We start from the raw sequence: 13,406 nt of genomic DNA, 5'->3' as shown, positions 1-13,406 counted from the left end.
CATCACAGCCATCCTGTGGGCTGTTTGGTACCCTGTTGTCCAGATGTTGGGTCTGTCTCCCTTCATGGCCTGAAGGGGAGCAGGCTCCTCATGCTCTGCTCCCAAAAGATGGTGGCTCGGTCTAGCAAGTCCCAGTTGCTAAACATTTTTTAAAAATAGAACTAAAGGCTGGGCACGGTGGCTCACGCCTGTAATCCCAGCACTTTGGGAGGCCGAGGCGAGTGGATTGCCTGAGGTAGGGAGTTTGAAACCAGCATGACCGACATGGTGAAACCTCGTCTCTTCTAAAAATACAAAAATTATCCGGGCGTGGTGGCAGATGGCTGTAATCACAGCTACTCGGGAGGCTGAGGCAGGAGAATCGCTTGAACTGGGAGGCAGAGGTTGCAGTTAGCCGAGACGGGGCCTTGGCACTCCATCCAGCCTAAGCAACAAGAGCGAAACTCCGTCTCAAAAAATGAAAATAAAAATAGAACTAAAAATAGCAGGGAGTGGGCTGGGAGCAGTGGCTCATGCCTGTAATCCCAGCATTTTGAGACGCTGAGGTGGCTGTATCACCTGAAGTCTGGAGTTCGAGACCAGCCTGGGTAACAGGCTGTGAAACCCTGTCTCTACTAAAAACACAAAAATTAGCTGGGCATGGTGGCACGTCCCTGTGATCCCAGCTACTCTGGAGGCTGAGGCACAAGAATGGCTTGAACCTGGGAGACGGAGGTTGCAGTGAGCCAAGATCGCGCCACCGCACTTCAGCCTGGAGGACAGAGCGAGACTCTGTCTCCCAAAAAAAAAAAAAAAAAGGAAAAAGAAAAGCAGTGAGTGGGCTGGGCATGTCACGCCTGTAATCCCAACACTTTGGGAGGCTGAGGCAGGAGGATTGCTTGAGGCCAGGAGTTCAAGACCAGCCTGGGCAACATAGGAGACCCTGTCTCTACAAAAAATTTAAAAATTAGCTGGAGGTGGTGGCGCGTGCCTGTAGTTCCAGCTGCTTGGGAGACTGAGGTGGGAGGATGGCTTGAGCCTGGAAGATTGAGGCTGAAGTGAGCGTGCCACTGCGCTCCAGCAGTGGGTGGGGGAAGGGAGGGAGGGGGCGCGGTGGGGAAACGGAGCGACCGTGTCTGGAGAAAAGAAAAGAGCAGGAAGTATGCATACAGATATGTGTGTGTGTACTGAGCTATGGTGTGAAATCATTCCTGACTGCGGGTTATAGTCAAAACCCCATGAAGAGCATCACTACAGCCCACGGGTGTGTCAGGGACACAGTGTTGTGAGCCCTGGGAAGGCAGGGCCTGTGGCCAGCACTTTATCAACACTGGCACATGCACCCTATGAGGCAAAGGGATTTGCATTGTCCCCTTACAGCGTGGGACACTGAGGTCGCCAGGGGCATGGCGACTGTAAGGGACAGTGCTGGATGTGAGCCTCGCCTGCAGGAGGCGGTCCAGGAAGCGTGGGTGGAGCGGCTGGAGAAGTTGAGGGTCGCGTGGCCGGGGAGGCTCCCGGAGGAGGGAAGGGCCTATCTCAGCGAGGGGCATAGGCGAGGAAGGTGCGGGGCGAGGCGGCCGCGGGTCCCTGGCATCCCTCTCTTTACGCCCAGGTTAAGCTGGCGGTGCTGCTGGTGACGCTGGTGGCGGCCGCGGTCTCCTACCTGCGGATGGAGCAGAAGCTGCGGCGGGGCATGGCCCCGCGCTAGCCCCACATCCCGCGGCCCCAGCACAAGGTGCGCGGTGACCGCTACTTGGAGGAGGACAACTCGGACGAGAGCGACGCGGAGGGCGAGTATGGGGACGCCGCGGAGGAGGAGGCGCCGCCCGCGGGACCCCGGCCTGGCCCCGAGCCCGCTGGACTCGGCCGCCGGCCCTGCCCGTACGAACAGGCGCAGGGGGGCGACTGGCCCGAGGAGCAGCGAGGGGCCGCCTGGTCCCCGGACTCAGCCTCCCTCCTCGCCGGCCTCAGTTTACCACGACTTAGGTCGGGGGCACCCCCTCCTAGTCCCGCGCTGTCTTCAAAGGCCCCTGTCACCCCTCCCCCACGTTGGGGACGCCCCTCCCAGAGCCCGTGTCACCTCCGGGCTTCCGCAGCCCCCTCCAAGGCGGAGTGGAGCCTTGGGAACCCCTCGGCCAAGCACAGGGGTTCGAAAATACAGCTGAAACCCCGCGGGCCCCTAGCACGCGCCCCAGCCCCGGAGCAGGGTCAGGGTCTTCTTGCGACCCGGCCCCGCTCCAGACCCCCCAGCTCTCGGCCGCGGACCCGGGCCGCGTGTGAGCGCGCTTTGCACCTCCTATCCCCAGGGTCCGCCGAGAGCCACGATTTTTTACAGAAAATGAGCAATGAAGAGATTTTGTACTGTCCTGACTGGGGAGTCCCAGGCCGCCGGGGACGGAGCGCCCCTGGGGTGCACGCCCGGCTGGCCCGGCCTCTGGGTGCGGTGGTGGGAGGCCCTGACCTAGGGGGACCGCGGGGTGTGGGGAGTGCGTAGCCCCAGTGGGGGCGGGGCGAGGTGTCCGTAGGCCCCGCCCTCCAGCCCTTCCTCCCTCCTGAGGCCCCGCCCCCCCATACCTGCCTGCCTTTGCCAGCCCCAGCCAGGAGAAGGGAGCGGGGGAGCGGCTGGCAGAGACAGAGGAGGGTGTGACGGCGTTGCTGGTCCCCCATGGGTCCAGAGGGCGAGACAGACTCCCGAGGCACACCCTCCAGGGGCCTGTGTAGGCATCCTCGGCCCTCCAGCGACCACCCCCGCGTCAGACAGGGTCCACTTCCGAGCCACGGTGGGGTCACCCTGTGCCCAGTAGGGGCCTTGGAAGTGGTGGTTGGAGGCCAGGTACGCTCGGTTACTACCCTTTCCAGGCTACAGCCTCAGCTGCGATGCCCACGAGAAACAGGCTGGTGGAGGGGCAGACCCCCTACAAGGCCTGAAGGTGCCGTTCCTCCACCCGCTCCTCTTGTGGCCAGAGGAGAGGGACACCCCCGCCATGAAGAGCTCTGAACGGTTGGGTGAGGACAAGTGGGTGCCGTGGGAGGGCCATGGAGCCCCCAGCTGCACCCCAGCAGGCCCAGGGCTGGCCCACACCATTCCTCACTCCCCACAGCCTCTCTACCCTTGACTTTGGCGAGACCCTCGTCCATACCTCCAGGCTCCATGCCTGCCTCAGCATCGCTCTATGGATTCTCCCAGCCCTAAACTTGCCCCATCTCTCCTCTCTGCCCTCATGTGAGTTTGGTTCTTGAAGCCTCTAGTGGTCCCTGGGGCCAGACTCTGTGGCCTTGGACAGGGAGTCTGCCATCTGAGCCACAGGTTCCTTCTCTGTTGAGTGTGTGAGGGAACATGTTGGAGCCCTTAGTGTGGCGGCAGCAAGTGCCCCAGGTCCTGTAAGAAACACAAAAGGGTGCGGCGGGAGACTTGACATTTTCTAAATCTGGGAGGGAACGCTGCCTTCCTCACGCCGACCTTCAGTGAAAAGCAGACTCAGAAGCGGTCCCAAGGTGTCACTGTAAGCTGGGTGAAGGCCAGCACTGTGTGCTTCCAGTTCCCCCTCAGCATCTGTAGACTGAGTGTTCTCTGGAGGTGGCTGGCGACATCCTCCAGGCAGCCTCCAGCAAAACCAGTCGGAGTTGGGCAACCTGACGCTGGGATGATTCACCTCTGAATGGAGGGCAAGGTGATATTTGGAAGGGTGTGGGCCCCTGGGATGCTGGGCAAAAGGGCAGCGGGTGCCTGGATACTGGGCCTACAGCTCTTCCCAGTTCCGAGTCAATTCCAATGTCCATGGTGCCAAGGAACAGAGGCTCTGATGTTGAGCAGACTTGAAGGTGATCCAGGCACATGGAGTGGCCACTCAGGGGCTTGGCTCCTGGCTGTGCTCTTCCTATCTGGGCATTTCCCATCAGAAGGCTTCACAGGCCACCCGGCTGCTCCTGGCACACGGAGAATGCCCAGATGCTGACATGTGCCAGACAACACACATGTACACCTGATAGGACACACACATGCAACATGCAAACACACATGATGGGTAACACCTGTGACAGACACTACATGACAACACACGTGCACACATGATGGGAAACACATATCACAGGCCGTGCGACGTGAAACACACATCACAGGCTGTGCGACGGGAAACACAGCGCAGGCAGTGTGACGGGCCCTGGCAGCAAGCTCAGCAGGCTGGCTCTTTTCGAGCAGGAGAAGAGCTCATTGTAAGAGATGACACTGGCGTAGGTGGCACCTCCCCTGTCTCCATCACCCCTGGATAAGGTGACTGGGTGGAGGTTCTGGAACCCTGAGTGGACGAGCAGGTAGTGTCATGGCCTCCTTGTCTGATTGCCACCCTCGCTCCCAAAGCAACTCTGTGATTTTGGCCATGTGCACTGTGGGGATTTTTCTTTTTCTTTTCTTTTTTTTTTTTTTTGCAACGGAGTTTCACTCTTGTTGCCCAAGCTGGAGTGCAAGGGTGTGATCTCAGCTCACTGCAACCTCCGTCTCCTGGGTTCAAGCAATTCTCCTACCTCAGCCCCCCGAGTAGCGGGGATTACAGGCGCCCACGACCAAGCTAGGCTAATTTTTTTGTATTTTTAGTAGAGACGAAGTTTCACCATGTTGGCCAAGCTGGTCTCAAACTCCTGACCTCAGGTGATCCACCTGCCTCGGCGTCCCAAAGTGCTGGGATTACAGACGTTAGCCATCACGCCCGGCTGGGATTTTTCACTTATGTGATTCCAAGAATCTCCAGTCCAAGATTTTCCCTATCTTTAAGTTCTCAGTAGCAGGTTAGATAACCTGAGAAGTCTCCCTCTTCAAAACACCTAGGAATGCTGGGTAAGAAACAAATGTCCTTTTAACTATAGAGCTGAGGCCGGGCATGGTGGCTCACGCCTGTAATTCCAGCACATTGGGAGGCTGAGGCGGGCGGATCACCTGAGGCCAGGAGTTCGAGACCAGCCTGGCCAATGGTGAAACCCCATCTCTACTAAAAATACAAAAATCAGCCAGGAGGGGTGGCAGGGGCTTGTAGTCTCAGCTACTTAGGAGGCTGAAGCAGGAGAATCGCTTAAACCCGGAAGGCAGAAGTTGCAGTGAGCCAAGATCACGCCATTACACTCCAGCCTGGGCAAAAGAGTGAAACTACATCTCAAAAAATATATAAATAAAATAAAATAAAATAAAATAAATATATAGCTGAGTTCTTCAGAAAATAAGTTAAGTCCCCTAAGGGCAGAAGTGAAGAGGGGAGTGAGAAGCAAGGTGGGGACAGAGGAGCTGGTGCTGCAACTGCCTGAGGGCAGGGCTGGGTTGAGTGTTGGAAGCCCTTACAAGGCAGGGGGTGAGGGTTACAGTCAAGCATGATGAAGTTGGGGCCACAGAAATGCAACACCTTTAGAGAAAGGGACAGAAACATTTCCACCCAGGGGAACAGAGAGAGGTGAGAAAATTTGAGCTTTAGGTGGTGGACAAGTTTCCCATGAGATCGTTGCATTTTCAGGCCTCTCTTATGTAAATGTGGAACTCCTACAATGAAGTCATGCTACCTGTGTGGTCTAGGAATGCCAGAGTTGAGAAATTAACACTAAAAAGTTGCTTTGGGCCGGGCGTGGTGGCTCACGCCTGTAATCCCAGCACTTCGGGAAGCTGAGGCAGGTGAATCACCTGAGGTCAGGAGTTCGAGACCAGCCTGGCCAACGTGGTGAAACCCCGTCTCCACTAAAAATACAAAAAATTAGCCACGCCTCGTGTGCGTGTAATCCCAGCTTCTCAGGAGGCTGAGGCAGGAAAATAGCTTGAACCTGGGAGGCAGAGGTTGCAGTGAGCTGAGATTGCGCCACTGCACTCCAGCCTGGGCAACAAGAGTGAAACTCTGTCTCAAAAAAAAAAAGTTGCCTTGGCTTAGTGGTACCCTGGGGCCCCTGGAAAGGCCAAATAGAAAACCTCTCTAGGTGGCTCCCTCAAACCTGGCCACCCAGGATTCCCCACATAAAGCCCCTCTGAAGCTCAGCTCACGATCCAAAATTACAGAACACACAGGAAACACATCACCGCGAGAAAAGGCAACAGACATACAAAAGAGCAGGATTCGACACCCGCTCCAAATACCCCCAGCTAGGAGAGAGAAGCTGTCCAACAGGTATGTGAGATAGGCAGCTGCTATAAGGGCTGTCAGCAATCTCCCACCCTCGACTCTTCACAACTTTGTGTAATTTCCATCCCTTGATTGTGGGCTGGACCTAGTGAGTTTCTTTTAACCAACTGAATTCTTTTTTACTTATTTTATTTTATTTTATTTTATTTTATTTTATTTTATTTTATTTTATCTTATTTTATTTTATTTTACTTAGAGATAGAGTTGCACTGTGTTGTCCATGCTAGACTGAAACTCCTGGCCTTAAGCAGTCTTCCTGCCTCGGCCTCCCAAAGTCCCAGGATTATAAGCATGAGCCACTGTGCTCAGCAGCCTTCGCATTTATTTATTTTTGAGACTCGCCGTATCGCCCAGGCTGGAGTGCAATGGCACGATCTTGGCTCACTGCAACCTGCACCTCCCAGGTTCAAGCGATTCTCCTACCTCAGGCTTCCAAGTAGCTGAGATTACAGGCGCCTACCACCACGCCTGGCTAATTTTTGTATTTTTAGTAGAGACTGGGTTTCAGCATGTTGGCCAGGCTGGTCTCGAACTCCTGGCCTCAGGTGATCTGCCCGCCTCGGTCTCCCAAAGTGCTGGGATTACAGGCGTGAGCCACTGAACCTGGCCAACCAACTGAATGCTAAACTGGCCTGAGACATTCTCACTCTCTGGTGTCCACACCCCGCTAATGCCCTCCTGTGAGTGAATGTGATGGGCTACAGTACTTTTGAGCTAATCAAATGGGACGCTACCTAATGGACCTGAACAAGTCAGGCAAGTCTTTTAAAAGAAAGGGACACGGCAGAGAGGCGCTCTTCTGCAGGCTTGGAGTAGGGCAAGTGGCCATGGTGCCACCTACAAGGGGGCCCCTGGAAGCCGAGAGTGGTCCCCGATGGCAGCTTGCAAGAAAACAGGGACCTCAGTGCCCCAACGTAGGGAACAGCCCCTCTCCCCCGCTGGCTCTTAGGACCCCCATCGCAGGGGGGTGAGGCACCTCCCGCGATGAGGGGAGTTAGAGCTAGCCGCCTCCCCCCCTGGCTCTTAGGACCCCCATCGCACGGGGGTGAGGCACCCCCCGCAATGCGGGGAGTAAGAGCCAGCACCTTTTCCCCCTCTGGTTTTTAGGATCCGCGGTGGACTCACAGCCTCTTTACCATATTGTGAGCAATATCATCTCCCCCTCTGGAGATTATGAACTGTTTCAGAGACGGCTATATACCCTCGGTGTACAGAGGGTGTACACCCGTCTGTATTGGGAGTAATATCATCCTCTTCCTCTCTGAATATTAAGAAGAGTATCACAGGGGTTTTTCCACTCTCTCGGATATCGCGTGTCATATCCTCCTCTCCCATGCTGCAATTAGAAACAGTATCAGTGGGGGCGTGTCCACCTTCTGTGATATTGAAAGTAATATCATCCTCTTCCCTCCAGGATCATGGGAACAATATCCCTGGGGGGTGTCCACTTTCTGCCATATATGTAGTCATATCATCCCCTCCGCCTTGGAATATTATGAAGGACCATCTCACACGGGGGTGTACACTTCCTGCGATATTGGGAGTAATATCAACCTCTCGGCCTCTGAATATTAGAAAGAATATCACAGGGTGGTTGTACACCTCCTGCTCTATTATGGGGAGTCATATCTATCTATTATGGGGAGTAATATCATCCTCTCCCTTTCAGGATATTAATAACAATTTCACAGGCTGGGTGAACACAGCCTGTGATGCTGGAATTATTATCACCCTCTCTCCCTCGGGATACTAGGAAGAATATCACAGAAGAGGTGTACACTCCCTGCGATATTGGGAGTAATATCATACGCTTCTTCCGTGAATATTAGGAGCAATATAACCGCGTGGCTGTACATTGATTGCTATGTTGGCAGTCATGTCATACTCTACCCGCTGGGTATTAGGATCGGTGTCACAGGGTGAGTGTACACCTACTGCGATATGAAAACTAATATCATGCTCTCCATCCCTGGATATTAGGAACAATATCACAGGTAGGTGTACACCCCCTGCGGTATTAGCAGTAATAATATTATGAATTATTAAACATCAGTCTTATTAATAATTATCAATGGTAATATTAATTAACAGTATAATGTTATTAATCATTATTATTTTCAAGATATGATTATACATGATTAAAATTAATTATTAATATTTATGTCACTTTTAATATTAGTTATTAATCTTAATATTAATTGTTTTATTACCAACATCACTTATGATTGATTGAAGTAACATTAATTAATGATATCATTATTTTATTATTAATAGTGATATTGCTATTAATTATTAATAGTAACCATTAATATTTTTCAACCGTACTGTTTTAATGTCTCTACTGTAATTATTAATATTGATGATTACTATTAATTGTTATTATAGCCATTAATATTAATAATTAATAGAACTGTTCCCGATATCCGTGAGGTAGAGGATATTACTCCCAGTATCGCAGAAAGTGTACACCCCTCTATGATGTTACTCCTAATAGCCAGGGGTAGAGGATGACATTATTGAAAATAGCGCAGCGGATGTACATCCCTTCGGTTATCTTGTTCCTAATATCCTGGGTGGGAGCGGATGATATGACTCCCAATATCGCAGGGGGCGGAGACCTCCCCCGTGATACTGACCCTAACATCCAAAGGTGGAGAGGATGATATTTCTTCCAATTTCGCCGGGGGTGCACACCACCCTTGTGATATTGATCCTAATATTCAGGCGGCGAGAGGATGATATTAGTCTGAATATTGCAGGATGTGTACACTCCCTAGGGATATTGTTCCTAATATCCAGGGACATAGAGGATGATATCACTCCCAATATAGCAGGGGGTGTACACCCCTTGTGTGACATTGCTCCTAAAGGGCTGCGGGGGAGAGGAAGATATTACAGCCAATATCGCAGGGGGGTACACCCCCTTGTGACATTCTTCCTTCTATCCTGGGAGGGAGAGGAAGATACTAGCGGCAATGTCGCAGGGGCTGTACACACCCACTGTGATATTGTTCCAAATATCCGGAGGGGAAGAAAATGATGTTACTTCCAATATCGCAGGGGGTGTACATCCTCATGTGATATTGTTTCTTATATTCAGGGGGAGAGGATGATATTACTCCCAATATCGCAGGGGTTGTACACACCTCCTGCGATACGGGGAGTAAGAGCCAGCCCCACTCCCCCCCTGGCTCTTAGGAGCCCCATCGCAGGGGGGTGAGGCCCCACCCCAACGTACGGGGAGTAAGAGCCAGCCCCTTTCCCCCCCTGGCTCTTAGGACCCCCATCGCAAGGGGTGAGGCCCCCGTGATGCGGGCAGTCATATCACCCCCCCCTCCCCCCTGGATATGACGGTCCACGGTGGTCACACAGCTTGTTCACGTTATTGTCAGTAATATCTTCTCCGCCTCTGGAAATTACCAACTATGTCACAGACGGGTGCACATCCTCTGCGCTCTTTGGAGTAATAGCATCCTCTTTCCCCTTGATATTAAGAACAATATCACAGGAGTGTTTTTACCCCTAGGGGCATTCCGTGTAGTATCATCCTCTCCCACGTTGAAATTAGAAACAATATCACTGAGGGCGTGTCCACCCCGTGCGATATTGAAAGTAACATCATCCTATTCTCTCCTGGATCATGGGAACCATATCACTGCGGTTGTGTACACTTTCTGCGGTATTGGGAGTAAGATCACCCTCTCCGCCTTGGAATATTAAGGACCATATCACAGTGGGGCTGTACACACCCTGTGCTGTGAAGAAGAGTATTATCCTCCCCTGCCCTGCACGTTGGAAAAAATATCACAGAGTAGGTGTACACCTCCTGCGATTGGGGGGTGATATCATCTTCTCTTCTTCTGGATAATAGCAACAATAGTACACGGGTTTGTACACTTTCTGTGATATTGGGAGTAATATCAACCTCTCCACCTTTGAATATTAAGAACAATATCACAGACTGGATGTACATCCTGCGATATTGGGAGTCATATCAGCCTCTCCTCTCCGTGGATATTAGGAATAATATCCCAGGATCGGTGTACACCTCCTGCTGTATGGGGAGTCATATCGTCCTCTCACTTCCTGGCTGCTAGGAACAATATCAGAGGGTGGGTGTACACAGCCTGCGATATTGCGAGTAATATCACCCTCTCCCCCTCCGGATATTAGGAACAATGTCACAGAAGCGGTGTACACTTCCTGAGATACTGGGAGTAATAGCATTCTCTTCTTCCGGGAATATTAGGAGGAATATCACCGGGTGGATGCACACCCACTGCTATCTTGGGAGTAACGTCATACGCCACCCCCTGGAGATGATATTCGGATCAATATCACCGGTTGGGTGTACACCTACTGCGATACTGAACGTCATATCATGCTCTCTCCCTCCCTGGACATTAGGAACAATATCACAGGTGGGTGTACACCCACTGCGGTATTAGGGATAATATTCATATTAATTCTTCCTCATTTATTAACATGAATATGTATTACCAATATTAATATAAATATTAAGAAATCATTGCTAAAAATAGTGTTCAGATTATTAATATTAATGTTAATTATTAGGAGCTAATATGACAGTTTTCTAATGAATAATATCAATATCACTCTTTAAAACCAGGCGTCAATAATCATTAATATTCATCATTTATTGTTATCGTCAGTATAACTCTTTAATACGAATTATCATTATTATTGGTATTGATTTTAAGAATTATATGATCAGTTATTAATATTGATAATTATCAGTATCAATTAATAATTGAGATTATTAATTGCGGTGAGTAACATTGCGCCATTCCACCCCTCCCTCGGCAGCTCGTTTATGACCCAAAACGGGGATCCAAATGCCCCTGAGAGAGCAGCAGTATACTGGGAGAGAGGAGGATGGTCACGTGGTGGAGAAGCGTGTTTTTGTGTAAAAGCCCTTCACCTCTGCCGACCTTCTCAACTGGGAAAACAATACCCTGTCCTAGAGCGAAAAGCCGCAAGCCCTAATTGATTTACTCCAAACTGTTATCCAGACCCACAACCCCACCTGGGCTGATCGCCACCGGTTGCTCATGTTCCTCTTTAAGAGAGATGAAAGGCGAAAGGCAGAGAGGGCTCCACGCAGCAACTAAGTGGCTAGAGGAACATGCACCAGCTGATTATCAAAACCCCCAAGAGTATGGAAGGACCCCGTTACCAGGAACCCACCCCCAGTTGGGCCCACATGAAAGAGAGGATATGCAAAGGCTAAACCGAGACAGGGAAGCTCTCTTGGAAGGATTCAAGAGGGGAGCTCAGAAGGCCACAAACGTTAACAAGGTCTCTGAGGTCATTCAGGGAAAAGAAGAAAGTCCAGCACAATTCTACCAGAGACTGTGAGAGGCCTATGGTATGTATACTCCCCTTGATCACGATAACCCTGAAAATCAGCGCATGATTCACATGGCTTTAGTCCGTCAAAGCGCGGAAGACGTTAGAAGAAAACTGCAGAAGCAGGCTGGGCTTGCAGGGATGAATACATCACATTGATGAGAAATAGCTAAGCAGGTGTTTGTAAACAGGGATGCAGTAAGCCGCGAGGGAAAGCGCAAAGAGAATGAAGGTCAGGCCTGGTGAAATGCCGACCTGTTTGTTAGCTGCAGCAATCAGAGCTGTCCCCCCAAAGAAGCAAGGGAAGGGGGGCCCTGGGAAAGAAACTCAGCTTGGCTGTCAGAGTTTGCAGCATAACCAGTATGCTGATTGTAAAGAAATAGGACAGTGGAAGAACAAATGCCCTCAGCTCAAAAGAAAACAAGGAGACTCAGAGCAGGAGGCCCCGGACAAGGAGGAAGGGGCCCGGCTCAACCTGGCAGAAGGGTTATTGGACTGAGGGAGACCGGGCCCAAGTGTCCCCAAAGAGCCTCTGGTCAGAATGACAGTCGATGGTAGAGACATTGATTTTCTTGTAGATAACGGTGCTGAACATTCGCTAGTAACCGCCCCGGTCGCCCCCTTATCCAGAAAGACTCTTGACGTCACCGGAGCCACGGGGATTTCAGCAAAGCAAGCTTTCTGCTTGCCTGGGACTTGCACTGTAGGAGGACATCAAGTGATTCATCAGTTTTTGTACATGCCTGACTGTCCCTTGCCCTTGTTGGGAAGGGACTTGCTTAGCAAGCTGAGAGCTGCTCTCTCTTTGACAGAACACAGCTCTTTGCTGCTAAAGTTACCCGCCACGGGAGTCATTATGACACTTACGGTCCCCCGAGAGGAGGAATGGAGACTTTTGTGAACTGAGCCGGGCCAAGAGAGAAGACCAGCTCTGGCTAAGCGGTGGCCAAGAGTATGGGCAGAAGACAACCCTCCAGGGTTGGCCAGTTAAGACTGGGGCCCAGCCGCTTAGGCAAAAACAGGACCCGGTCCCCAGAGAAGCTCTTCAAGGTATCCAGGTCCATCTTAAGCACCTAAGAACTTTTGGTATGATAGTTCCTTGTCAGTCTCCACGGAATACTCCCCTCCTGCCTGTTCCCAAGCCATGGACCAAGGACTACAGCCCGGGACAGGATTCGCGCTTGCTTAGTCTAGCTACCCTGACTTTCCATCCAACAGTACCTAGCCCTTCCACATTGGTGGGGTTGCTGCCAGCTGAGGACAGCTGGTTCACCTGCTTGGACTTGAGAGACGCTTTCTTTCCTATCAGATTAGCCCCTGAGAGGCAGAAGCTGTTTGCCTTTCAGTGGGAAGATCCGGAGTCAGGTGTCACTACTCAGTACACTTGGACAGGTCTTCCCCAAGGGTTCAAGAACTCCCCCACCATCTTCGGGGAGGCGTTGGCTAGAGACCTCCAGAAGTTTCCCACCAGAGACCTAGGCTGCGTGTTGCTCCGCTAGGTTGATGAGCTTTTGCTGGGACACCCCACGGCAGTCGGGTGCGCCAAGGGAACGGATTGCCCTACGTCGACACCTGGATGACTGTGGGTGTAAGGTGTCCAAGAAGAAAGCTCAGATCTGCCGACAGCAGGTACGTTCCTTGGGATATACTATCCGACAGGGGGAACGCAGCCCGGGATCAGAAAGAAAGCAGGTCATTTGCAATCTAGCAGAGCCTAAGAGCAGAAGGCAGGTGAGAGAATTCTTAGGAGCTGCGGGGTTTTGTAGACTGCAGATCCCAAACTTTGCAGTATTAGCCAAGACTTTGTATGAGGTCACCAAGGGGGCGGGGACCGGGAACTTTTTGAATGGGGATTCCAACAATAGCAAGTTTTTCATGAGTTAAAGGAGAAACTTAGGTCAGCCC

The 13,406-nt window shown here is 51.7% G+C and overlaps 1 annotated feature.

The window, feature by feature from the left end:
* Positions 2,227-2,840: an enhancer, noted in NCBI's record as "H3K4me1 hESC enhancer chr4:4144249-4144862 (GRCh37/hg19 assembly coordinates)". NCBI's record gives its function as "activates a minimal SCP1, AML or CMV promoter by ChIP-STARR-seq in naive H9 embryonic stem cells {active_cell/tissue: H9 hESC(naive)}" and the evidence as "EXISTENCE:reporter gene assay evidence [ECO:0000049][PMID:30033119]".

Source organism: Homo sapiens, chromosome 4, assembly GCF_000001405.40.
Source record: "Homo sapiens chromosome 4, GRCh38.p14 Primary Assembly".
Classification (NCBI taxonomy): Eukaryota; Metazoa; Chordata; class Mammalia; order Primates; family Hominidae; genus Homo; species Homo sapiens.
The sequence above is the reverse complement of the archived record's forward strand: the minus strand, read 5'-3'. Positions and strand labels throughout refer to the sequence as shown.